Below are 22,413 nucleotides of genomic sequence, written 5' to 3'. Positions count from 1 at the left end.
GTGTGCCCCCTCCCCTGCAGAATCTGACACATGTACACACACAATGGGTGTATTTGGATGAGGTCTGCCCCCTCCCCTGCAGAATCTGACACATGTACACACACAATGGGTGTATTGGGATGAGGTCTGCCCCCTCCCCTGCAGAATCTGACACATGTACACACACAATGGGTGTATTGGGATGAGGTGTGCCCCCTCCCCTGCAGAATGTGAGCTCCAAGAGAGCTGGTTTTGTTTTGCTTTGTTTTGCGTTGCTGTAGCCTTCAGAAGCCAGCAGGGTGCCTGGCACAAAACAAGTGCTTGGGTAAGTATTTGTTGAGTGAGTTGAGTGAGCGAGTTCTCCTGGTGGAATCTGGCTGAAATCTCCTCCTCGTATCAGATTGAGGCTGGTGTTAGGATGTAGGAAATGGCCACTCCTGAAGTCCAGGACCACAGATGTCATTTAGGTGCCTCCATCCTGCTCCGTGCCACACTCGGGCCCTTCTCGTTTCATCGATCTGCCTTCACACTGTGCCCCCACTCTGGGGTGTTCTCTCATGAAGACACGTTTGTCCTGTTCTGTGTCCCCAGCTTCTTGGCACCTAGTAGGTGCTCAATAAATCCAGTCCGATGAACCAATATCCAGAAGAAGCAATGAATGAATAAATGGAGTAGAAATAGTCCTCTCTGGAGCTGGAAGCCCCACACGGAGGGCCTCATGAGGGTCTGCAGAGACTGTCCGTCCTGAGGACCTCTGGGACCCTCATGGGGAAACCTGACACCAGAGCAAAGCCACACCGCACTGAGGTGGCAGCCAGGGTTTGGAGAAGAGTTCCCAAAGCGTCTCAGGAGCTCGGGGAATCCCCTGCATCCCCCAGGGCTCTGTCAGTTTGTCTTGGTGGCTTGTCCCCGTCCTCCTAAAAATGCCCTGCAATGTATGCAGCTGGTTTGCACTCACAGTGAACTGGTGGTGGGCGGTGGGTGGTGGTGGTGGTGGCGGCTTGGGGGGTCGGGGGGAAACTGAGGCTCTTGGAAAGAGACCGTTAGAAATGGCGAGGCCCAAATGGGCTGACAGCCCAGCGGGGCGGGGGGAGCAGTGTGTCAGGGCGGATCTCGGGAGGGCTGTGCAGCAAATACCCAGGGCTTCTTCCCAGGAGGGCCAGGCCTGCCCAGGCTCAGAGCTGGAGTAAACGTGGGAAGATACAAGCATGGTGTTTCCCTGGGGCCCATCTGGCCCCAGAGTGAACTGGCGAGGGCCACTGACCGCGACACCCGTGTTTCATGGGGTTTTGTTCATGTTTTGGGGAACTCCATTTTCTCCGGATCCCGGGTTCTTGTGAGAGTTCCCATAGCAACAGTGAAACCCCCAGATGTCTGTGGGGGTGCAGGGTAATTCCAGCTTCTGAGTTCACTGGGAGCCTCTTCTGGAGACAGCAGAGAGGATGCCGAGTTTATTCAGCTTAAAAATGTAGATGAACCAGCACGTGAGGTTGCCGTGCCTGAAACACGGGCCGGGAGGAAGACTTCACTTTTTAAACACAAACAAAATATCCCACCAACCACAGCGCTTTGCAGAATGAAAAGTGGAGGCTTTCCCCACCCTCAGTTAAAGTGGTTCTGTTTCAAGATCTTTCCCAGAAGAAAGGAGCTTTCAGAGGCAGCAAAAAAGGTAGCAGTAGGGCTACCTTTGGAAAACTGGCAAGAAGAATGTAATCAGCCTGTCTGCCTCCTCCTGCGGGGCCACACCCCTCCCCCTGAGCCTGGGTGCCCCCGCCCTCACCACCTGCCTCCTCCCGAGGGGCCACACCCCTCCCCCTGAGCCTGGGTGCCCCCCGCCCTCACAGCTTGCCAGTCTCAGCAGGGACTCCCTCGCCTCCCCCCTGCCAGGCTCCTCTTTCCAGCTCAGGCTGAGTTGGCAGCGGCCTCAGGAAACCACGTTAACCTTCTCTTGGACGCGTGTGTCCGACCTCATGACTTGCGAAGGCTACAGGCCTTTAAGACTCCAAAACTAAATAAAAATGAGTAAAAGGTGGTCGGGCGCGGTGGCTCACGCCTGTAATCCCAGCACTTTGGGAGGCCGAGGCAGGCGGATCGCCTGAGGTCAGGAGTTCCAGACCAGCCTGGCCAACATGGCAAAACCCTGTATCTACTAAAAATACAAAAATTAGCCCAGCATGGTGGTGGGCACCTGTAATCCCAGCTACTAGGGAGGCTGAAGCACGAGAGTAGCTTGAACCCAGGAGGTGGAGGCTGCAGTGAGCCAAGATCCTGCCACTGTACTCCAGCCTGGGTGACAGAGCAAGACTCCATCTCAAAAAAATAAAAATAAATAAAAATGAGTAAAAGGCTAAAAATCAATGGAATTGTAAAATAATAAAATAATAAAAAATAAATGACCAACCAGTTCCAGCCCAGGAGGAAGGCGTGTGGGTCCCCCATGGCTCGCTGGGGCCAAGACACCCACTTGCTTTAGGACCTGGGTCATCTGTGTGGCCCTCGGATGTCAGGGGACATGGGGGGCAGGCCCGTGGGGCCGCAGACATCGGGGGTATATGCCATCGGAAGGGGCAGCTCCCACTCCCTTCTCAGTCCTTTCCTGGAGGCATGCGTGGCCAACTCTTCCCATTTTTGAAGGAATCTGGTCTTTTATATAAAAGACCCAGATTTTAAAATGTTGACCACGAAGTTACCACAGGTGTGTGTGTGTGTGTGTGTGTGTGTGTGTGTGTGTGTATGAAAGGAAATGACAATGAAATTCTAGCATTTTGCAGCTGGTTTTCCAAGCCCCCAGGAGTGGCTTGGGGACCCCAGGAAATGTTTTCTGTGACTGTTCCCAGTGTGACTACCCACCCGCCCGCTGTGGCCATTTCTACCCAATGTCATTTCCCATGTGTTTCCTCCTGCAGGCTGCCAGGGTTCGTGGCTGGTCACTGCTGTGAGCTTCATGGGTCTGGGGGCCTGGTCCTCACTGTCAGGGTCCCAGTGGTGACTCTGGGCTCGTGAGACCCGTCAGAGGGGAGGGAAGGGCCCGCAGAGGGCAAATAGGTGAGAGTTAAACCCTGAGCACTGGGGATTAAGCACCGCCCCTCCAAGCAGGACAGACGGATTGTCAGGGGGAGAGGACAGAGCCAGGAACCCGGCTCTGTCCTCTCTGCTGCAGAAAATGGGCCTGGCTGATGGGGGCCACCTTGCGACTTTCCCAGAGGGGTAAGTGAAGGAATTTGGACTCCTGGGTCTGAGTGCGCTGGTTCACTGGAGTCGGCAGTCAGGACCAGAGCCCGAGGTCGGGAAGCTCCCGGGAGGGTGCGGACTCGGCCCGAGGCCGGGAAGCTCCCGGGAGGGTGCGGACTCTGGGTTTGCATTCTGAACAGGCGTCCACTTCCCAGCTGCCCGATGGGCAAGGATGACATCCTGTGCCTCAGTTTCCCTCTCTGTAGAATGAGGCTACTTCTAGAACCTACCTCCTAGGCTTATGATGGGGATGATATGACTTAAATGCAGATAAAACCCTGAACCAGTGCTGGGCACACAGGGCAGCATCAATAAGCCTTTGCTGTTATATACAAAGGACCTGGGCAAAAAAGGCACAGGAGGGAGATTCACTTTTTCAAAACAAGCAAAAAGACGAAAGTCACATTTGCATGAGGACAGAGTTCTGCTCAAATGCTCGCTGCATTTGGAACCTGCAGAGGAGAAGTGGCAGGTGGGGGGCTTGTTTATGTCATAGCTCCCGCATTGGGAGTGCCGCCTCTGGAGGAGCCCTGTTGGCAGCACGGAGGTGGGTGCCCTGTGGGGCGGTGAGGGGCTGCTCTGGAGTGACCGGGCTGAGTCAGAGCCAGCTTGGTGCAGGGTATAGGATGCACGCCCATGGGCACAGGCTGCCCTGCTCAGCCAGGCCTCTCTCTGTCCCCACAGCATATGCGAGAGGCGGCTGAACGGCGGCAGCAGCTGCAGTTGGAGCATGACCAGGCCCTGGCTGTTCTCAGTGCCAAGCAGCAGGAAATTGACCTTCTGCAGAAGGTAAGCGGCGGGCAGCCGGGCGCGGCGTGCGAGGCAGGGAGTCCACGGGTGGGCCGGGGATCCCTGGTGTGGTGGAGCGGCCGACCTGCGGCCTTGGCTCCCAGGCCGCTCCCTCTCTCTGCTTGCACAGAAGAATTCAGAGTCATTTCTGCTTTCCTGCTGTGGTGTTTCTTAAGTAGACCTGTGTTCATGTTTTATAACGCGAAAGCAGATGCAAAGCTCTAACCTCTGATGCTGGTGAGGTTGTCGGGAAAAACACATGCGTAGAGATGGCTGGCAGGGTGTGAATTGCTTCCGCTTCTGGAAAAAGCAGTGTGCAGCATCCGTTTAAACTAAAAGGGCACACAGAAGGTGACCCTGCCACCCCCATCCTGGACGATGCCCTGCAAGGAGTACAGGAACCAGTTCAAAAGGAGTTTTGTTTTCTTGCAGTGCTGCTGTGTGGCAGTGGGGACAGGGACTGGACCCAATTGATGCCCACCTAAGGGTGATGGCTGTGTGCACCATGGTCCATCCACACCAGGCGCCGTGTGATGTCAGCGAAAAGGATCATGGTGGTTTGATTCTGCTGTCTTGAGGCTGTTGCATGATGTGTTATCAAGTGAGAAAACTGAGTTGCAGAGCAATATTTATAGCCGGATCCCAGTAAGAAAGGAAAAAGGCAAGATGAGTAAGACAGAAAGGAAAAGAAATCAGGAGAGAAAGGAGAGAGGCACCAGGGAAGGAGGGAAGGAAGGACTGAGTGATTTGGGATTTTTACCTCCTGGGCACCTGTGATGGGTCTGGGGACTGAGAAAGGTAACCTCACCCCACTCCAGTCCTCAGCCACGGTCCTGCTGTCTCTCTCCAGATAGGTAGGAGGGTGGTGCTCCCGGAGCCTATGGGCTTGGGGTGCCCCCAGGAAGAAATCAGAAGGTGGGGACCTGTGAACAGGTCTCATCTCATTTCCTTCCAGAGCCCAGTGTCCCCACCCAGCCCTGCCCTCTCCTCCTCCTGGCAGGGCAGCCACCCCTGTGGCCAGAGTGCAGCTGGCTGGTCTGCAGCCTCCCGCCCGGTGCTGGCTGGGATGGGCCACTCCTCTGCCCTAGGTGGCCCCTCGATCCATCCGACAGCTTATCCAGGTCTTGGATCTCAAAATAAAGGGCTCACAGTCATTCACCCAGCCTGGGGGGCGATAGGAATCTGCCGGAGCAGCGTTTCTCCTCCAGAGTTTATTAGCAGAGCTTGTGGAAACAGGTAGATAAGTTCTGATGCCATTTCTCTAAGCATTTAGCATGAGATCGTATTAAGGATAGATTTCATTAAGCCAGCGCTGATGGGAACTTCACAGCCCTTATTACCTGTCATAATAAGGTGGCAGGCACCCGGAGCAGCAATATTTCATTAGATGTTATCCGCAAGGGATATTGCTGGGACACGGGCAGGAATATTACTCTTATGTTCTCCTGCCATGTCTCAAGGACCTTTCCCGTGGCCGGGTGACGCCTGATGGCACCTGCACTTATTCGTCACACTCCAGAAGCCACGTCCCCAGGCGGGGACCGTCTGAGACAGATATAAGTCTGTAGAAACACAGAGACTGTCCAGGAAGGGGAAAGGATGTCTCCTCTCAACAGAACATTCTCTAGAAGCCTGGAGTTAGATTTACTAAGCATTTGATGCCAAGGAGAATGACCTGGAACTGACTCTGTTATTCCGCGTCCACGATCTCTTCTGTGTGCTGTCCAGTTCTCTTGGCGTTCTTTATCCCCCCGCACTCACCATTGTCTCTGTTTTGGACACACTGATGCTTCACTAGTGGGGCGAGGGGCAGAGGGAGAGAAACTGGATGAAATATGAATGGGCCAATTTTGTAATTTCTAGAGGCTTTGATGTAGTTTTTAAGCATGAGAAGAGGAAGTCTGACTCTTGAGTGGAATGAGATCCGGGACTTCTTTCCAGAGCTCATCTTTGCATTCAGTTTCCACGTGGGTGGTCGTTGCACTGCACTTGTGACCAGCTCCGTCGTACCGTCATTCAGCAGGGGTCGGCCGTCTGCCCCTCCAAGCAGCCACTCAGCTGCTGTTCCAGAAGCAGGAACACAGCTGCGAGTGGGACACGGCTCTGCCCTCCCAGGCTAAAAAAGGAAGACGAACAAGTCAGTGAAAAAGCGAGTAAGCCCAGATGATGGCAAGGGGTGAAGGGAGTTGAGAGGCTTGAGTGGCGGATTGACGGGGCCGTGACTTTAGATACAGGTGACAGTTCAAGGAGCAGATGACACCCACCACGCCGAGGGCTGGGGCAGGAGTGTGCAAGGGTTAGGGAGCAGCACACACAGGCCCCCTTGGGAACCAGCCCAGCGCATCCAGGGAAGAGGAAGAAGGCCGGGTAGCTGGGGTGCAGCCAGGGAGGGAACAGGGGTTGAATTTGGGCCTGAGGCACAGAGCTGGAGTGCTTACCCCACCAGGCAGTGGTGCCTGCACCATGAGGCACGGATTAGCTGAAGACTGGCCCTCATCCCCCTACCAAGATAGAAGTCACCAGTCGTCTTTGGACTCTCCAAGGCCCAAAGGTGATTCTGATGAGAGGGCTGTGGAGCCATCTCAAAGGAGTGACCCTCTTCTCTCTTTCTGCAACCCCAGCTCTTTCTTGAACTTGCCGTCACGGGACCCCACCCCCAACAAGTGGCTTTTGTTAGTGTCACCCATGCATGAGCTTACGGTCCAGTGGGTAGTTCTCTGTCCTCGTTTTCTTTGACCCGGAGGCCCAGTTTGAGCTTATGGCCTCCAAGGATACCACCCTCTCCTGGTTTCCTTCTCCACACCAGCCCCTCTACACATCACAGGTGACTCTAAGACTCAGTCCTGAAGTCACATCCCTTCTCAGTCTATACTCACTGTCTCATGACCTCACATAGATGCATGGGTTTCAGCACCACCTCTGCGTGGTAACTCCCGGGTTTAGACCCGGAAGCCAGACGATGCCACTGTGCCCCAATTCCTTTACTCACCCTCTGCTTGACACCACTGCTTGGGGGGCCTCGGACGCCACGTCCCACACAGAACTCCCCTCTGTCCTCACCAACACCTGCACTTCTGCTGAACTCCTTGAGCTCCGTAAACGGCAGCATCTCCCGTTTTTGTACAGCTCTTCCTTTCCCTGGAGTTAATTGCCTTTTTTGTTTGCTTGTTGTCTTACTTCTCTGTGTACCCATCATTCCTTTGTTCCCCAATACCCTGCTGAAGCTGTAAAATTCCTCTCAAGAGAGTCTCAGTCCTCTGGGGGGCTTCTGATTCCATTTTCCCCTTGGAGACGCCCGCCTGGAGCCCCTGGCCTCTTCCTTCAGTCCAGGTCCTGGAAATGCCCCTCCCCACCGTCTGCGGGTCTCCTCCCTGCCTCTTTGTGCTTTCATCCTCAGCTTCCTCCATCCTATAATGTTGTTTTTCTTGATGTGCAATGTGAGGCAGGAGTTTATTTTTCCTGAAATACAGGTGGATTGTGCCACATTGTGCAGTACTTAGAGATTCCTTGGTGGGATCAGCTTCACCCCCAGACCTGACCACCCTTGAGAGGGTGCTGGACATTCAGGCGTCTAATATCAGGGGCCTGCATCCCAGCACCTTGTCCAGAGGCACCTTTCTCCCAGGCAGCTCCACCTGTCCTCCTGCCCTGCATGGCGGTCGGGAGAAGCACGTAAGATCATGTGAAAGGGAAAGCATTTGTTAAATCGGAGAAATAAACAAATGGGTGAATGACGAATGAGTGATGAAAGTGCCCAGGGCTCTCCTCCCGGAATCCAGGGACAATGAGCTCATGCTGCAGCCCTCGTCTCTGGGACCTGAGCAGAGACACAGTTTAAAAAGGCAAAAGGCAGCCAAGCCAGGACCCACGCTGTCTGCTGGTAACCTCAGGCTCTCCCGGGAGACGCGTGCTTCCTGGAGACCGGGAGCAAGAGCTCATTCACAAATCCCTGCGTCCATTCACTCAACAGACGTTTACGGAGCGTCTCATGTCAGTGAAGTCCCAGCAACACAGCAAGGAGTGGGACGGTGTGAGAACAGGCTGTGAATGGTCATGACGATGGTAGAAGCGACTCTGGGCACAAATCTGCTGGTGCAGCGTGTCCGGGCTGGGACCCGGAGTGCAGTCGTGGCCTCCTTTGAGCTGTGCCACCTCTGCCACTCCTCCCGCTCCCCATGCTGCAGCTGCTTCCTCCTCTCCCTGGACCGTGCCAAAGCCAGTCCCCTCTTGGGGACCCTTATCGACAATGCCTGGTCCCCAGGTTGTTGCAGAACTGGTTCATTTCTCTCACTGAGTCTCCCTCAGACCAGACGCCACTCCATGCCCAGACAGAGGGCATGTCGCCCCATTTACTGATGCCAAAACATGCCTGCTCGCTCATGTGGCTGTTTGCCGACTGCCCACCTCCACCTGTTGGCACTTCAGCTCCGTGAAAGGCGCGTCGGACTCGTAGGACATCGCCTGACACCTAGGAGCTCCCCAGCAAATCCTGGATGGGCGGAGGTGCTCAAGGGCACAGAAGGAATTGGAGATGTGACGAGGTTCCGTCAGTCGGGGCAGTAGGGTCAAAATCCCGCAGATAAGATGACCGAGGATAAATTCTCATTAACATTCAGTAAATGCCTGTGGAGGGAATCAATGAATAGTCAGCCCTCGTGTAACCTGCGGGGCGGAGGCACCATTGTTTTCTCCATGTGACGGATAAGGAGGCTGAGGCTAACATGCCCGTGGTCCACTTGAGACCCGATTCTGAAACCCTGAGGCTTCCTCTCCAGGTGAATGGTCAGCCTGGGGTCCGGCTGCGCTCCGTTGCTTCAGACTTTCAGTTTCTTGTGTAGGTTACATCCTTGTCTTGTGACAAGTGGCAATTATGATAATCCAGTGGTGTGAGCTAAAGGGCTTTTCCGTATTTATAATTCATCCGCAGACTTGACCGATTTTACTTCGGTCTACAGTTCCTCTTACTGGTAGAATGACCGCTTTCAGTCTTAAGGCTATTATGTAACGTGTGATACTAAGAGAAGCTGAGCTCACCGCCCGATGCATAGTTAATGCTTTGACTGAATTTGCTGTGCTGCCCTCAGATTGTCGGCCTCAGTTGTGTGTGGATGGCTGCGGTGGGTCATAGCTGACCCTCTGTGTTAGTTTCAGGCAGTGTCTGCCCTAATCCTGTGTGCTCCTGGAGTATTAGAAAATGTCCATCAGCCCTCAGCTCTGCGGAACTCCTGTTTTGAAGGTCCTTGTAGCCCTCGGCATAGTTCCTTGAGTCTCACTGACTTTTCTGCAGAGCTAACGTTTCATAACGCCCACGGAGGCCCCTCCCTCACTCTGCTCCATCTAAGCCAATGCCCGTTGTCCCGTCACAGTCGCCGGGGGCCTGGACGGCCTATTGCTCTGTGCCCCATCCAACCTAGCTAGATGCCCAGCACTTCGGCCACAGGGAATCTGCCCTCCCTTCTGTGAGCGCCATCCCCCCAGATGCTGCTGCTGCTCCTGCCGCAGGGCCTGCCCACCTCCCGGAGAGCAGATCCTCTGGGTAACAGGCCTGTTCCTCAGGCCTCTTCCTCCAGCGTCGGGAGCTCCAGTCTCCCTGCTCTGCAGGAACCACTCTCCGTAAAGGTCGCACTTTCCCTGTGTTGGCCCCTAAATGAGCCTCGCTTAAGCTGTTGCTTGGATTTTGTAAGAATTCAGCGCTGCCAATTTCAACAGTCTATTCTGATTGCCCAAATGGCCCAGTTTGCACCTGCAAAAATGCACTGGTTTTCATCTGAAGCTGGAAGCGAAGTTGTACTGCCAGCTTGGCTGAGTTTTAACAGCCTGCTGGAATATTTTTTGTTTTGTCTTTTTTTTCAATCCTGCCAGTTGAAAACTATCTTTGATTCAACTGAGTCAATGGTGGCATCATTTATATAATCCCTGTATGTTCCCTGCTTGTTTGTCTCTTTTTCTATTTTGCTATTTATTGTTGCTCTTGCTGGTTTTTGCTTTGAAAGGAACAGTTTTCGGCCTTCGACGGTTGAGCTGAACTTGAGAATGGTGTAATTAACATGCTGTGTTCCAGTCACTTGCCCAGCTCTTAAAACTCTCATTGGAAATATGTGAGAATGGAACTCATATGAATGAACTCTACAGAAACCTCAGACGACTCTTCATTTTTAGCCCAGGGAATGGCAGATTTCCCCTTGGCTGGGGAAGCCAAGCTCTTCCCTGTTTTCAGCGCACGGAATTTTGAGAATGAGAAGTAGAAACTGTTAAGATAATGTTCACTTGCTTATTTATGATGTTGAATCGTCCATCACTAATTATTCTCCAGGCAGCTAGAGGAAATATTTCTCTAGAAACTGAGAATTGTAAATGTAAGTCACAGCGTAGCATATGGATTCTTTATTAGTGTTCCACGTTTTAAGAGCTAGGTGCACTCTGGTGTCAGAAAATAATGCTTCTTAAAAACCCCCATTTTCCTGCTCCACGGGGAATGTTTGGGAGATGCTGATGTCAGTGTGAGGGGTGCACAGTGTGGACTGTGCTGCAGGCGGGAGCCTGGTTCGTCTTTTCTTCTCTGTCTCATTACAGCCTCAGAAAACCAACCTCCAGTGTCCGCACTTTAGGAAGTGTCCCATGCTTTCACAGTTGACGATGACGTTCGTTAGCACTCTTGGTTTCAAGCGACAGAAAACCCAAACAGGAAATTGTTTTTGTGCCCATCACTGAAAATGTGGCTTCAGACATGGCTAGATCCAGGGCTCAAATCTGCTGGCCTCAGACCCAGTAGAATCCAAGGCCTCCCCGACATCACCAGGACTTGGCTGCTCTCTGCCCTCCTCTGGATCAGCTTCAGCCTTGGTTTCCCTGTGGAGACCCCCAGCCACTCCAGCCCTGACCCTCCTGGTGGCAAAGTGGCTGCAGCCTCACCTCCTCCCAAGCCAAAGTCCAATAGAAAGGGGCTTCCCTCTCCCGCAGCATTCTCAGGCAGAGGCCCATTGCCCTCCGTAGGCCCCACACCACCCAGGTCACCAGTCGCTGAGGGTTCAGACTGTGCTTGGCACAGGGGAGGTCCAGACCCCAGCCAGTCCAGAGGTTCTTCCCAGGAGAGGAGCTCCTGACGCTGGAGGAAGAGGCCTGAGGAACAGGCCTGTTACCCAGAGGATCCGCTATCCAGGAGGTGGGCAGGCCCTGCAGCAGGAGCAGCAGGAGCATCTGGGGGGATGGCGCTCACAGAAGGGAGGGCAGATTCCCTGTGGCCGAAGTGCTGGGCATCTAGCTGGGTCAGATGGGGCACAGAGCAATAAGCCGTCCAGGCCCCTGGCGACTGTGACGGGACAACGGGCATTGGCTTAGATGGAGCAGAGTGAGGGGCCTCCATGGGTCTTTTGAAACGTTAGGTCTGCAGAAAAGTTAGTGAGACTCAAGGAACTATGCCGAGGGCTACAAGGACCTTCAAAACATCAAAGCCATTGAAACACGACAGGTCCTTACCATCATGATGATGCTGGGACTTCCGGGCCTGTGAGGACAAGAAATAACGGTGTTTGATGCTGGGACTTCCAGGCCTGTGAGGACAAGAAATGATAGTGTTCCATCTCAGATGTGCTTGAATCTGCCCTTTGCCTGGGCAGCAGCCATCCCGAGACATTTCTGTAGTGAAACATGTGAAGTTATTCTGTGGGGCCCAGATGGCTTTGCCGCCAGTGCTTTGAAGAGGGCGGCCCTGCCACAGGCTGCAGGTGCCAAGGCCTGTTGCATGCTCAGGACCCAGCCCCGGCCCCTCCTCCAGGGCCTGGTGAGGTCTCAGGGAACCTAGAGCTGACTGGGAGTCAAGTCTGCAGGATTAGGTTTTGTTTCCAAAGCAGTTCGTCGGATGTTTGGGCAGATGAAGGTGCTGTCAGAGGCATTGGAGGGATGCTTCTGCTACTAAGCTTATCACCTGGGTGAAGAAATAATCTGTGTCCCAGACCCCCTGGATGTGCAATTTATCTGTACAGCAAACCTGCACATGTATTTCTGAAACTCAAATAAAAGTTAAATAATGAATGTAGGAATAATTTTAATTCCTCTATTAGAGGAATAAAAATAAATGATCCCCCACCCCCAGTGATTCAGACATTGATCCGATTGTCTTCTTTCCCCTTTGGACATTTACTCTTTTCTCTCTTTTCATCATAAAAAAGGCTCAGGTTGAGGCTAAGAAGGAGCATGAAGGCGCAGTGCGGCTGCTAGAGGTAAGGAGCGTGCCCCTGCTTTCTGCCCGGGGGTGGGGGACGTTGGGGAGAGTTGCCCTGATGCCTGCTAGAAATAATAGATGATGTTTATGAAGTGCGCCTGGTGCACCAGTTACTAGATGCCATTCATGTGTCTTCTCATGTCATCCTCACAAGCAACCAGTACTACAGGTGCCAGGACCAGGTCCGTTCTTACAGGGAAACTGAGGCACAGAGAGGTTAAGCAGCTTTCCCTTGGCCACACATCCAGACCCAGAACTGTGTGTCTCAGATGTGGTCTGCTGTCCTCTGGTGGCTCCTCTTGGGTGGAAAGTGAGGGGGCGTGGCTCACTCGCTTGCTTGTGAATTAATTTCCCCAGGGGTAAAGGCCGGTGGACCTTCCGGAGGCCATCCTGGTCTCTGATGAACTGCCTTGGGGTACCTTTTTAAGGTATGACACCCATCCTGGGGAGGCATTTGTAGGATCAGAGAAAGGAGGGCCTGGGGAATCAGAGTCCTCAGCGCCATCTGAGGCACTTCCCCGGGTGTGGTCCTCGCAAACACGACATGAGTGGCCTTCTCCTGCCTCCCAGAGATGTTTCCCACTGGGGCCTTGGGAAGGAAACAACGGCTACGTCCCACCTGCGTGAGTGGCGTATTGGGAGTGACCACCCCTGTCCCTGGCTCCTGGTCCAATGCCAGCCTCCTTGGGAGTGAGTAGCCAGGCAGACAGGGAGGGCTATGGGGTCCCCCTCAGGCCTCTGCTGTCTGCATCCATCATGCACAGTGGCTGGGCTACAGTGAGCTGGGGCCCCCACCTGCCGAAGTCAAGGATCGTGTAATTCACCACCCCCTCAAGGAGAGATTTACCTCGGAGGGGATCTGCCCTGGGGTGGCGTCCTCCCGGTAATGTTCCCTTAAGTGAGGCCAATATTGGATGAGGCTGCCCTCTTCAGAATGACCTTGTCCTGTGTCCCTGGGGGAGCAGCAGCCACTTAAAACGGGCTATGTGCATCTCTTACGTTGCCTTTTAAAGTCTATTCCTCCCACAGGAAAAGGTTTCATCATTATCATCCTATATATTAAAATGGATTTTCTGAAAGCCTCCATTAGTTAATGACTATCTGGAGGGAGGAGTGTGATGAATAGCAAATAGGAAAATATATAACCTGGGAGAATAGAAACAGACCTCCAAATGGCCATTTATCTCCCTGGAAAATAATTCACTTTCCCTGGCCTGAGTTATCCACCGCACTTTAATTTGCATCGTCTCCTGGCAGAAAAGGTAGTTGCCTCTCCCCAGTTGCCCCGGAGCCCATTGACATGACCCTGTGTGGCTTCAATCCGCCTCTGAGGGACTGCTCCACCATGATCCCGCTGTCACCTGTCACCCCGTGCTGCTGGTGGTGCATGCTTTCAAATGTGGTGACGGTCGCAACGCAGCGTGCTTTGGTTCGAAAAACAAGGCAATTCGGATGTGCTGGGAATTGTGTCTTTTATTTACGGCGTCTTTCTGTAACTGTCTTGCTTTGCTCTTCGCGCAGAACACCTTGGACAGCATGCAGGTATTCTAGAGAATAGCATCTTCCCTGCCCGGCGTGCTTGGCGATGCTTTTCCCGTGAGTGGACGCGGCCATGAGTCCTGGGCCTGCTCTGACCTGCCTCTGCTTCCTGAACTGCAGCTTCTGACGCAGGTGGGGGGTGGTCGGGGTTCCTCAGCCTGGGGGAGCTGAGGAGCTGCTCCGAGGAGCTCCACAAGCAGGGCCTCCCCCTCATCCGGGCGTCAAATGCAACGCCATGCTCGCTGAGGTGCTGCGCAGGCCCAGACACATGGCTCTTCCCGTCCTGCCAAGGCTGTGACTGTCAGGCTGGGAGAGCAGTCCTGGGGTTCAGATGACCGCAGAGGAGAGAAATTGTGGGTTGATTCTATCCTTGGGCCAGAGTTGTTGAGAGAGCCTAGCGGATAACCCTGAATTCGGTTAATTCGGTTACTGGTCATCAGAATTCAAGCTGCACGCCTGAGCCTCACAACCTTCCGTTCTGCCTCTGCGTTGTGTGGACAGCAAGCTCCTTCCCACAGGCCAGGGAGGCTGCCTGCGCTCCTCTCTGTCAAAGACCACCCCCTTGCTATTCCCCTGGGGTGGAGGAGAGGCTGGGTTGCCCCCGAGACAGGCCTTTGAAAGTTTTCCACGCCTCTGAGTTGGATGGTGAGTTCGTGGAAGGAACGGCCTTTCCCACTTCTGGACAAGTGGTTCTCTAAGTGGGTTCCCCGGGGCAGCAGCAGCGCCCAGGAGCTTGTGAGCAAAGTGGCTTCTCAGGCCCGGCCTCGGACCTGCTGAATCCAAACCCCTCAGGGAGGGGCCCAAGGTTGGCTGTAATCACCCTTCCAGATGTTTCTCATGCCACTGAGGTCTGAGAAGCATTGTTTAGGGAGCCTGTGAGGCCAGCTCCTGGGAAGCAGAGAGTATTTTCAGCAGTGCGTTCCCTGGGAAGCCCTGGCCTTTGCAGGGTGAGCACTTTGGGAACCTGATCCCAACACTGCAGCTGTTGACCAAGAAACCATGGCTGTCAAGTCCCACCCACTCACCCATCAAAGAACCACCTGTGGTGTGCAGTGGGGGTTTCATGTCTAGGTGTTTGTGTCCTTGGAGAATGGGGCATATTCGTGACTTTCTGTAGACAGAACATTCCACTGGGCAGCCTGCTTCCATGCTCAGCCAGATACAATAGAGGGCGCCTAGATAGGATACACCCCAGAACACATGTTACATAAAATGCCTGAGCACACGGAGAACCAAAGGTGTCTGAGATGGGTCTCAATCAATTCAGGACATGGCCAATGTTAAGGACGCACCTGTGACACAGCCTCGGGAGGTCTTGATGACATGTGCCCAAGGCTGTCTGGGTACAGCTTGCTTTTATACATTTTAGAGAGATGTGAGTCATCAATAAGTATAAGATGTACATTGGTTCGGTCTGGAAAGGTGAGACAACTTGAAGCGGGGGCTTCTGGGTCATAGTGTAACCGCCTAGTGGGTTCACCTTGCCCGTTGCCTAGATACAGCCAATTTATTAAGACAGGGATGTTGCAATAGAGAAAGAGTAATTCATGCAGAGCTGGCTGTACAGGAAACCAGAGTTTTATTACTACTCAATCAGTCTTCCTGAGAATTTGGAGACTGGAGTTTTTAAGGATAATGTGGTGGCTAGGGGGCCAGTGAGTTGGGAGTGCTGATTGGCTGGGTTGGAGATGAAATCATAGGGGGTCGAAGCTGTCCTCTTGCACTGAGTCAGTTCCTGGGTGGGGACCACAAGACCAGATGAGCTAGTTCATCCATAGAGGGCAGGGTCTACAAAATATCTCAATAACTGATCTTAGGTTTTACAATAGTGATGTTATCTCCAGGAGCAATTTGGGGAGGGTCAGAATCTTTCAGCCTCTAGCTGCATGGCTCTTAAACAATAATTTATAGTCTTGTGGCCAATTTGTTAGTCCTGCAAAGGCAGTCTTATTTCCAGGCAGGGAAGGAGGCTTGTTTTGGGAAAGGGCTGTTATCTTCTTTGTTTCAAAGCTAAACTACACACTAAGCTCCTCACAGAGTTCGTTCAGCCTACACCCAGGAATGAACAAGGACAGCTTGGAGGTTAGAAGCACGATGGAGTTAGGTCAGATCTCTTTCACTGTCTCAGTTATCATTTTGCAATGGTGGTTTCAATAGGTAGAGAAGAGACAAAGGGTTGCATTCTTTTGAGTCTCTGATGAGCCTTTCACTGAATACACAATTTCCATGTGAGAGGGAGGCAGAGGAATTGTCATTTGTGCCTTAGTCTGGCTCATTGAATCTGCATTTTTGCATAAATAATAGGGCAGAAGAAACAATCAGATATACCTTTGTCTCGGGTGAGCAGAGGGTTAGGAGCTGAGTTCTTTGTCCCATCCCTGTGAAGATAAACGATCAATTTACATTGCCTGGGTGAACTTCAGCGGAACTGTTTTAGGATAAAGATCTTGAGGTCCACAAGGAATCTCTGTGTGTGCAAATTCTGAGGGAGGTAGGTAGCTTTTTAATCTTTGCGGCTATCTTATTTAGAAGCACAATGGAAGCCAGGTTTGCTGACACGGTTCCCAGCTTCATGCTTCCCTTTGGCTTGGTGATTGTGGGGTCCTGAGATTTATTTTCCTTTCACGGTCCCCACATACACAACTCCAGTGCCATGGACACTTCTGGGCCCTGTTCTCTAAAGAATGAATGGCCAGGAGGTTTTGGTGGCAATGGGGAAGTGTCTTTTTTCTTGGTTGCTCTGCGTGAAGTCCTGAGGTCCCAGGAGTACCCTGAGCTAGTTTTGGGGTTTAGCAAAGATGTGCATCAGGATTTAAACACAGAACAGAGGTTTTCAGGAACTTGCCTGTCAAGACAGTTCTTTTTGTAAACCTAAGAACCTGAGAGCAGGGAGATTCCAGCTGCTAGGAGTTAAATAATTCCTTTGGCACTTAGCGTCCTATCAAAACAGAGAAGCAAAAGAAAACAATGAGAGCAACACCACCACCTCAAACAGGTGCCCTGTGCTGGGCCGTGTCCTGAGAGTGCATAGGAGAGACATCGAGACATCCACAAGATAATGCCCATTTCACTTGATCTTCTTCATGTCTGGGGGAAACCAAGACACAGGGAGGTTAATGAATGACCTGCCTGAGGGTCTCAGATAGTCATGAGCAGAATCCCATTCAAGCCTCAGGAGTTTGGCTCCGGAGTCCAGGCCTTCCACGGCTGCTGCACAGCACAGCTTCCTGTCAGCTCAGAACTCTGACCTCCCTGCAGGTGCTGGGTGGGGGCAGAGGGGACAGCGACCCTGGTCCTGCCTGTAGAGCGTACTGGAGGCTGAATCATAAGTCAGTGTTGGCAGCTCCAGACTGAGGAAGCGCCGGCCGGGCCATCTTCACCCGCTGGTATTCCCTGGGTGCGCAGCAGTAGCAGAGGGCAGGAATGCAGGAAGTCGCTTTACCCCAGGCTCTTGAGAAATACAGTCATATTTAACCCCTGAAACCACTGCCTGAGGTTCTCTGTCACCTCATTTTGCTGATTAGGCAATCGGGGCACAGAGACAATGAGCCACTTACCCGAGGACACACAGCTCCCAAGTGCCAGGGCATGGCCCCAAGGGCAGGAAGTCAGCCTGGTAACACCCTCTCAGGTGCTTTGAGAAAAGTCTAGGGGCTGGTGTGCTTGTCACCATGTGGCTGGGCTAAGAGATGAGGATCTGGGCTTCCTGGTCAGGGGAACGTCATGAGGAGCCTGTGCCAGTGCTGTGTGCTTGGCGTGTGCGTGTCGGCAGCTCTGTGGTGGTTCTTCAGGGCACCCTGATGGGAGTCCCTCGCCTTCTCTCCACAGCGCCTTGGGTGTCTCCTCCTGGAGCGAGGCATTGAACCTCAGGTGATGTCAGCCCTGGTTCGTCTCGGCCTCAGAGGAGCCCGGCTATTTTTCCTGAACAGCCCCCCTTCCTCCCTGGGAGACTTTCGGGGTGGCCAGCGTGCTTGCTTCCCAGGCAGGCTGAGGTCTACCTCCCCGCAGGCGTCTGGCCTCAGGCCTGCAGTGGATGATTGTGGGCTGTGTGGCCTTTGCCTTTAGGGGTCGTCCCTTCCTCCATAAAATAATCCTAACAGTTGTGTTTTGCGTCTATTGTGGAATAAAGATGAGTATTACACAGGCTGGATGCATGATGTATGTCTCACCCTTTTTCACTTCTTTTCTGATTTTAAAAGAAACTAAAATGGAACCATGTCTGTGGGCCCCTGAAGCTAAAGGGCTGTGGTCCCAGGCGCTGGGCCTGCTCGGCCTGCAGGGAACCAGCCCTGCCTGGCTCTTGTTCAGAGGCTGGGTGACCCCTGGGCCAGTGAGTGTGTTAGGGGAATGTGTGGGTGAGTGAGGGCACAGGCTTGGGCTTAGGTGGGCCCTGGACAGAGAGACTCAGAGGCCAGAGAGACCTGGGTGGGTCCTACTGCCCACTGGGGGTGTGACCGCAAGTCCCTCTTGGCCTCGTCTTCTGCCCTGGTGCAATGGCCTAACACCAACTTACCGGGGAGGTCTCTCTGAGTCAGCAGCAATGCATGACTCCCCCAGGCAGGGCCAAGCACATAGTAGGTATTCAGCCAGTGAGCAATGAAATCACGCAGGGCCTGCCACATAGTAGGTATTCAGCCAGTGATCAATGAAATCACGTAGGGCCTGGCACATAGTAGGTATTCAGCCAGTGAGCTATGAAATCAGAGGGCCTGGCACATAGCAGGTATTCAGCCAGTGATCAATGAAATCACGTAGGGCCTGGCACATAGTAGGTATTCAGCCAGTGATCAATGAAATCACATAAAGACAGCACATGGGACAATTTGTTTCCAAATTTTCCTAATGTTACCGGAAAGCAGCCTCGATCCAGACCCCAAGAGAGGGTTCTTGGATCTTGCGCAAGAAAGAATTTGGGTGAGTCCGTAGAGGAAGGCGAAAGCCAGTATGTGAGAGAAGTGAAGAAACGAATGGATGGCCACTCCATAGGCAGAGCAGCAGTGTGGGCTATTCGTGGTTGTTTCTTGATTATATGCTGAAAAGGGGTAGATTGTTCATGAGTTTTTGTCGGGGGAGGGTGGGCAGTTCCCGGAACTGAGGGCTCCACCCTTTTCAAGCCATGTAGGGGAACTTCCTGATGCTGCCTTGGCGTCTGTAAACTGTCATGGCGCTGAGGGGAGTGTCTTTTAGCAGCCAATGCATTATAATGAGCGTGTAATGTGCTGTGAGGACAACCAGCGGTCACTCTCTTTGCCATCTTGGTTTTGGTGGGTCTCGGTGGCTCCTTTACTGCGCCCTGTTTTATCAGCAGGGTCTTTGAGACCTGTATCTTGTGCTGAGCTCCTATCTCATCCTGTGACTTAGAATGCCTTCACCATCTGGGAACGCAGCCCAGTAGGTCTCAGCCTCATCTTTCCCAGCCCCTATTCAAGATGGAGTCGCTGTGGTTTGAACGCCTCTGACACTAAGTCAAGTGACCCGGTGAGCCTGGACCGTCCCTGGGTTCTGCCTATGATTCTGGAGTGATTATGCATCTGGCCCCTTGCTCTCAGAACCACCCCGTTTGGATGCCAGCCGCCAGCACAGCGCCTGCTTATCACCCCTCTTCACAGAGGCCGGGAAGCCAGAGGAGGGCACTGAGCCAGGAGCTGGGGGAGCTGTGGGGGTGTCTTTGGATGCTTCCCCCTTGTCTTTAGAAATAGCCACATCCACATTTGCGAGCCTCTGCTGTTTGTTCCAATTACAGTTGACTTGCCTGATGACTCTGCCATCTGTTCCTGCCTGGTCCGGACTCAGTTGCTTCTGAGCAGTGCCCTGCAGACCCTAGCGCCGAGCAGGTGGCCTCGGGATGGGGAGGAGCAGCACCATGGGGCTGGGTGTGTCCCTGCATCCCTGCAGCCGGGGTGACACCCAGGCCCAGTCCCAAACCCAGACAGGACAGCACTCTGTATCCGGAAATAAATATCGAGGTGTAAATGCGCCTGCCTGGGGCAGGACCACGGGTTGCTCTTTTCTCTCAGCATGCTTTGGAAGCGGCTGCTGCTGGCAATTCCTCCCCATAGGCAATTGGAAGCTCTTAGCCCCAGCAGGGACCCCCCTGGCAGTCACGAGAGCCTTCCCTGCTGCCAAGACGCCAGGGAGCTGTGCTCAGGCGAGGAGCCTAAAGGAAAGGTGCAAACAAGCTGGATGTGGGCGGGCAGGACTCTTAGGTTCTCCTTGGTAGGAATTTGAGGTGGGGGAGGCTGTGCCCCTGTTCCACACCTTCATTGTAGGTTACAAGGAAAGCAAGTCTCACAGCAGATTCTCCCATCAGACAAGCATTTACGGAGCACGTGCTGGTGGACAAGCAGGCAGGAGAGGGTACATTCCATGCCTGGTCTGTGAGCTCCACGTGGTGCCAGCGCTCTGCCCTGCTAGGAGGGTGCTTGCGCTTTGGCCCCATGATGCTCATTCGGGGAAAGCACGTCAACTGCACAGGGACTAGGGCAACCAGATTCCTCGAGTCAGCGTCCACACACAGGACCAGCTAGAGACCCAGCTCTGAGCACTGTGCCTGAGACCGCAGGAGCAGGGCCTCACTAGTCCACACCCTGCTCGTTCAAAGGTGAGGCAGTGCTAAGATGTGTGAGCTGGGTGACATATCTTCACTTTAACCAACGAATGCCCGTTTCTCCCATCCCTTATGCTTATGGTCACGCCGAGTAGCGTGCCTTGGGCCTCGGTGGAGACGCAGCCGGGCAGGCATCCTCGGGGCAGCTGTCTCCAGGCTTGCGGCAGCGCGGCCTTCCTGGTATCTGCACTGGCCACCCCTGGGTGGGATCCTCAATTATGGCAATGCATCGCCCAGCTTGTCTGTAAGTGCGTGTTCAATGCCCAGGTGGATGTAGGCATGCAGAGGGTCACAAATTCTAAGTTCCAGAACCCCCCAGGCCCAGGAGCAAGTGAGGGATCGTCCTGTGTGTCGGAGGCTTATGTGGGTACAGCCGGGGGCATCTACAGGGCCATGAGGGCATTTGATCCAACCTGACCCCCCACACACCCAACCTGCTGATGCGGGAGTGTCACCATGCTGTCGTGCAGAGCAGCACCACGGCCAGCAGCCACAGCCTGCAGCCATCTCTAGACATGCCTGTCAGCCCAGGCTGCTGATGGGCCTTGAAATACTCAGCAGGGTTTAAAATGTGAGACTTCCGGTGAATTGAAAATTCCCTGGGTGTGTCAGGCCGTTCTTGCTATAAAGGAATGCCTGAGGCTGGGCCATTTATGAAGGTTTATGAAGGTGATTTATGAAGGAGTCACTGGCTGATGGTCCTGTAGGCTGTACAGGGGGTGTGCTGGCTTCTGGGGAGGCCTTGGGAAACTTACAATCATGGCAGAAGGCAAAGGGGGATCAGGCGTGTCGTGTGCTGAGAGCAGGAGGGTATGGGAGGTGCCAGGCTCTTTTCAACAAGCAGACCTTGTGTGAACTTAGCCTGCTCATTATGGCAAGGACAGCGCCAAGCTATTCATGAGGGATCCACCCCCAGGACCCAGACACCTCCCGCCAGGCCCCGCCTCCAACACTGGAGGTCACATTTCAACATGAGATGTGGAGGGGACGACGCCCTGCTGCTCCTGGGAAACCAGAAGCTTTAGCTTTTCAACATGAGATGTGGAGGGGACAATGCCCTGCTGCTCCTGGGAAACCAGAAGCTTTAGCTTTGTCTTTGGTGGGCTGCACCCGGGCCGAGGCACCGGCCCCTTTGGACAGAGCTGGTTGCCCTGCTCACCACCCCATCCTGAGTTCCTGCAGGTCTACCCTGCCCCTGCCCCTGCTGGCACCCCTGCCAGTCTGCGTGCAGGACTGTGTCCACACGGTGATTTGCTGTAGCACTCAAGTCCACTCCGGGACCCCCCGAGGTGTAAGGAGCAGTTGGCAAGAATGGGCTGGGCAGAGCCAGCGTCCCTACAACCCCTGGGCCAGGCTCTCTGCAGCCGCCTCGAGAGAAGCAGGGCAGTGTGGCTAGGGCATCCTCCCATCCACATCTCATGTGGAAATGTGACCCCTAGTGTCACGGGTGGAGCCTGGCAGGAAGTAGCTGGGTCGTGCGGATGGGTCCCTTGTGGATGGCGAACCACTGGCCCTATCTGGTGGCCCCTTGGAGGAGAAACACCCTCCGGGAGGAGGTGACAGCTGGGAGCCTGGGGGCGTTTCTCAGGCTTCAAGAAGGGAGTGACTTTGTGTCACAGGAGGGCATGGAATCTCCTGTGCAGTGAGCCCAGTTGGGTGAGGGGACTGTGGGACGGGGCTCAAGGCGAGCTGGCTCTCCCCCGTCACTGCTGCCCGTGGGCCTCCTGCTCCCGACACCCCCTCAGAACGCGGTGGATGTCCCCGGCGCCAGGCCCTGGGGAATCTGCGGGGGAAGCAAGGACAGTGGCTGGCTGCCACTCTAAGAACACCAATATCCCTGCTGTTGCTGCTGCTAATATTGCATCTGCTGCTGCTACTAATACTAACACCAAACTGTGACTGTGAAGGATAACGCCAGTACGCTTGCAGGTAGTAATAATGATACTGTTGCTACTAGTACAAATAATACCAATATTGCTGCTGCTGCTGCTGCTAATACTAGGCTGCTATTAATACTAATACCAACAGCACTGTTACTATACCACTA

At 53.7% G+C, this 22,413-nt stretch overlaps 1 protein-coding gene across 35 annotated transcripts in view, besides 6 other annotated features; it reads left to right on the top strand.

The window, feature by feature from the left end:
* Positions 1-601: an enhancer, noted in NCBI's record as "NANOG-H3K4me1 hESC enhancer chr12:130966855-130967455 (GRCh37/hg19 assembly coordinates)". NCBI's record gives its function as "activates a minimal SCP1, AML or CMV promoter by ChIP-STARR-seq in naive H9 embryonic stem cells {active_cell/tissue: H9 hESC(naive)}" and the evidence as "EXISTENCE:reporter gene assay evidence [ECO:0000049][PMID:30033119]".
* Positions 1-22,413, top strand: part of RIMBP2 (RIMS binding protein 2) — a 320,167-nt gene that overhangs the window by 233,389 nt on the left and 64,365 nt on the right. For 33 of the 35 annotated variants that reach the window (NM_001351227.2, NM_001393621.1, XM_047428628.1 and 30 more), the window contains 2 exons: positions 3,895-3,999; positions 12,168-12,218. In NM_001351227.2, the coding sequence (NP_001338156.1) occupies positions 3,898-3,999; positions 12,168-12,218 (153 nt within the window). In that variant the 5' untranslated portion in view covers positions 3,895-3,897. Of the gene's footprint in view, positions 1-3,894; positions 4,000-10,572; positions 11,162-12,167; positions 12,219-22,413 lie in introns of all 35 variants that reach the window. The other 2 variants (NM_001351233.2, NM_015347.5) reach the window with 2 other exon arrangements.
* Positions 1,152-1,401: an enhancer, noted in NCBI's record as "active region_7343". NCBI's record gives its function as "activates an Ori minimal core promoter by ATAC-STARR-seq in GM12878 lymphoblastoid cells {active_cell/tissue: GM12878}" and the evidence as "EXISTENCE:reporter gene assay evidence [ECO:0000049][PMID:35858748]".
* Positions 10,735-11,235: an enhancer, noted in NCBI's record as "H3K4me1 hESC enhancer chr12:130956221-130956721 (GRCh37/hg19 assembly coordinates)". NCBI's record gives its function as "activates a minimal SCP1, AML or CMV promoter by ChIP-STARR-seq in primed H9 embryonic stem cells {active_cell/tissue: H9 hESC(primed)}" and the evidence as "EXISTENCE:reporter gene assay evidence [ECO:0000049][PMID:30033119]".
* Positions 12,300-12,799: an enhancer, noted in NCBI's record as "H3K27ac hESC enhancer chr12:130954657-130955156 (GRCh37/hg19 assembly coordinates)". NCBI's record gives its function as "activates a minimal SCP1, AML or CMV promoter by ChIP-STARR-seq in naive H9 embryonic stem cells {active_cell/tissue: H9 hESC(naive)}" and the evidence as "EXISTENCE:reporter gene assay evidence [ECO:0000049][PMID:30033119]".
* Positions 12,800-13,301: an enhancer, noted in NCBI's record as "H3K27ac hESC enhancer chr12:130954155-130954656 (GRCh37/hg19 assembly coordinates)". NCBI's record gives its function as "activates a minimal SCP1, AML or CMV promoter by ChIP-STARR-seq in naive H9 embryonic stem cells {active_cell/tissue: H9 hESC(naive)}" and the evidence as "EXISTENCE:reporter gene assay evidence [ECO:0000049][PMID:30033119]".
* Positions 19,262-19,761: an enhancer, noted in NCBI's record as "H3K4me1 hESC enhancer chr12:130947695-130948194 (GRCh37/hg19 assembly coordinates)". NCBI's record gives its function as "activates a minimal SCP1, AML or CMV promoter by ChIP-STARR-seq in primed H9 embryonic stem cells {active_cell/tissue: H9 hESC(primed)}" and the evidence as "EXISTENCE:reporter gene assay evidence [ECO:0000049][PMID:30033119]".

Source organism: Homo sapiens, chromosome 12 (assembly GCF_000001405.40).
Source record: "Homo sapiens chromosome 12, GRCh38.p14 Primary Assembly".
NCBI lineage: Eukaryota > Metazoa > Chordata > Mammalia > Primates > Hominidae > Homo > Homo sapiens.
This window is presented reverse-complemented; position numbering and strand designations above follow the sequence as displayed.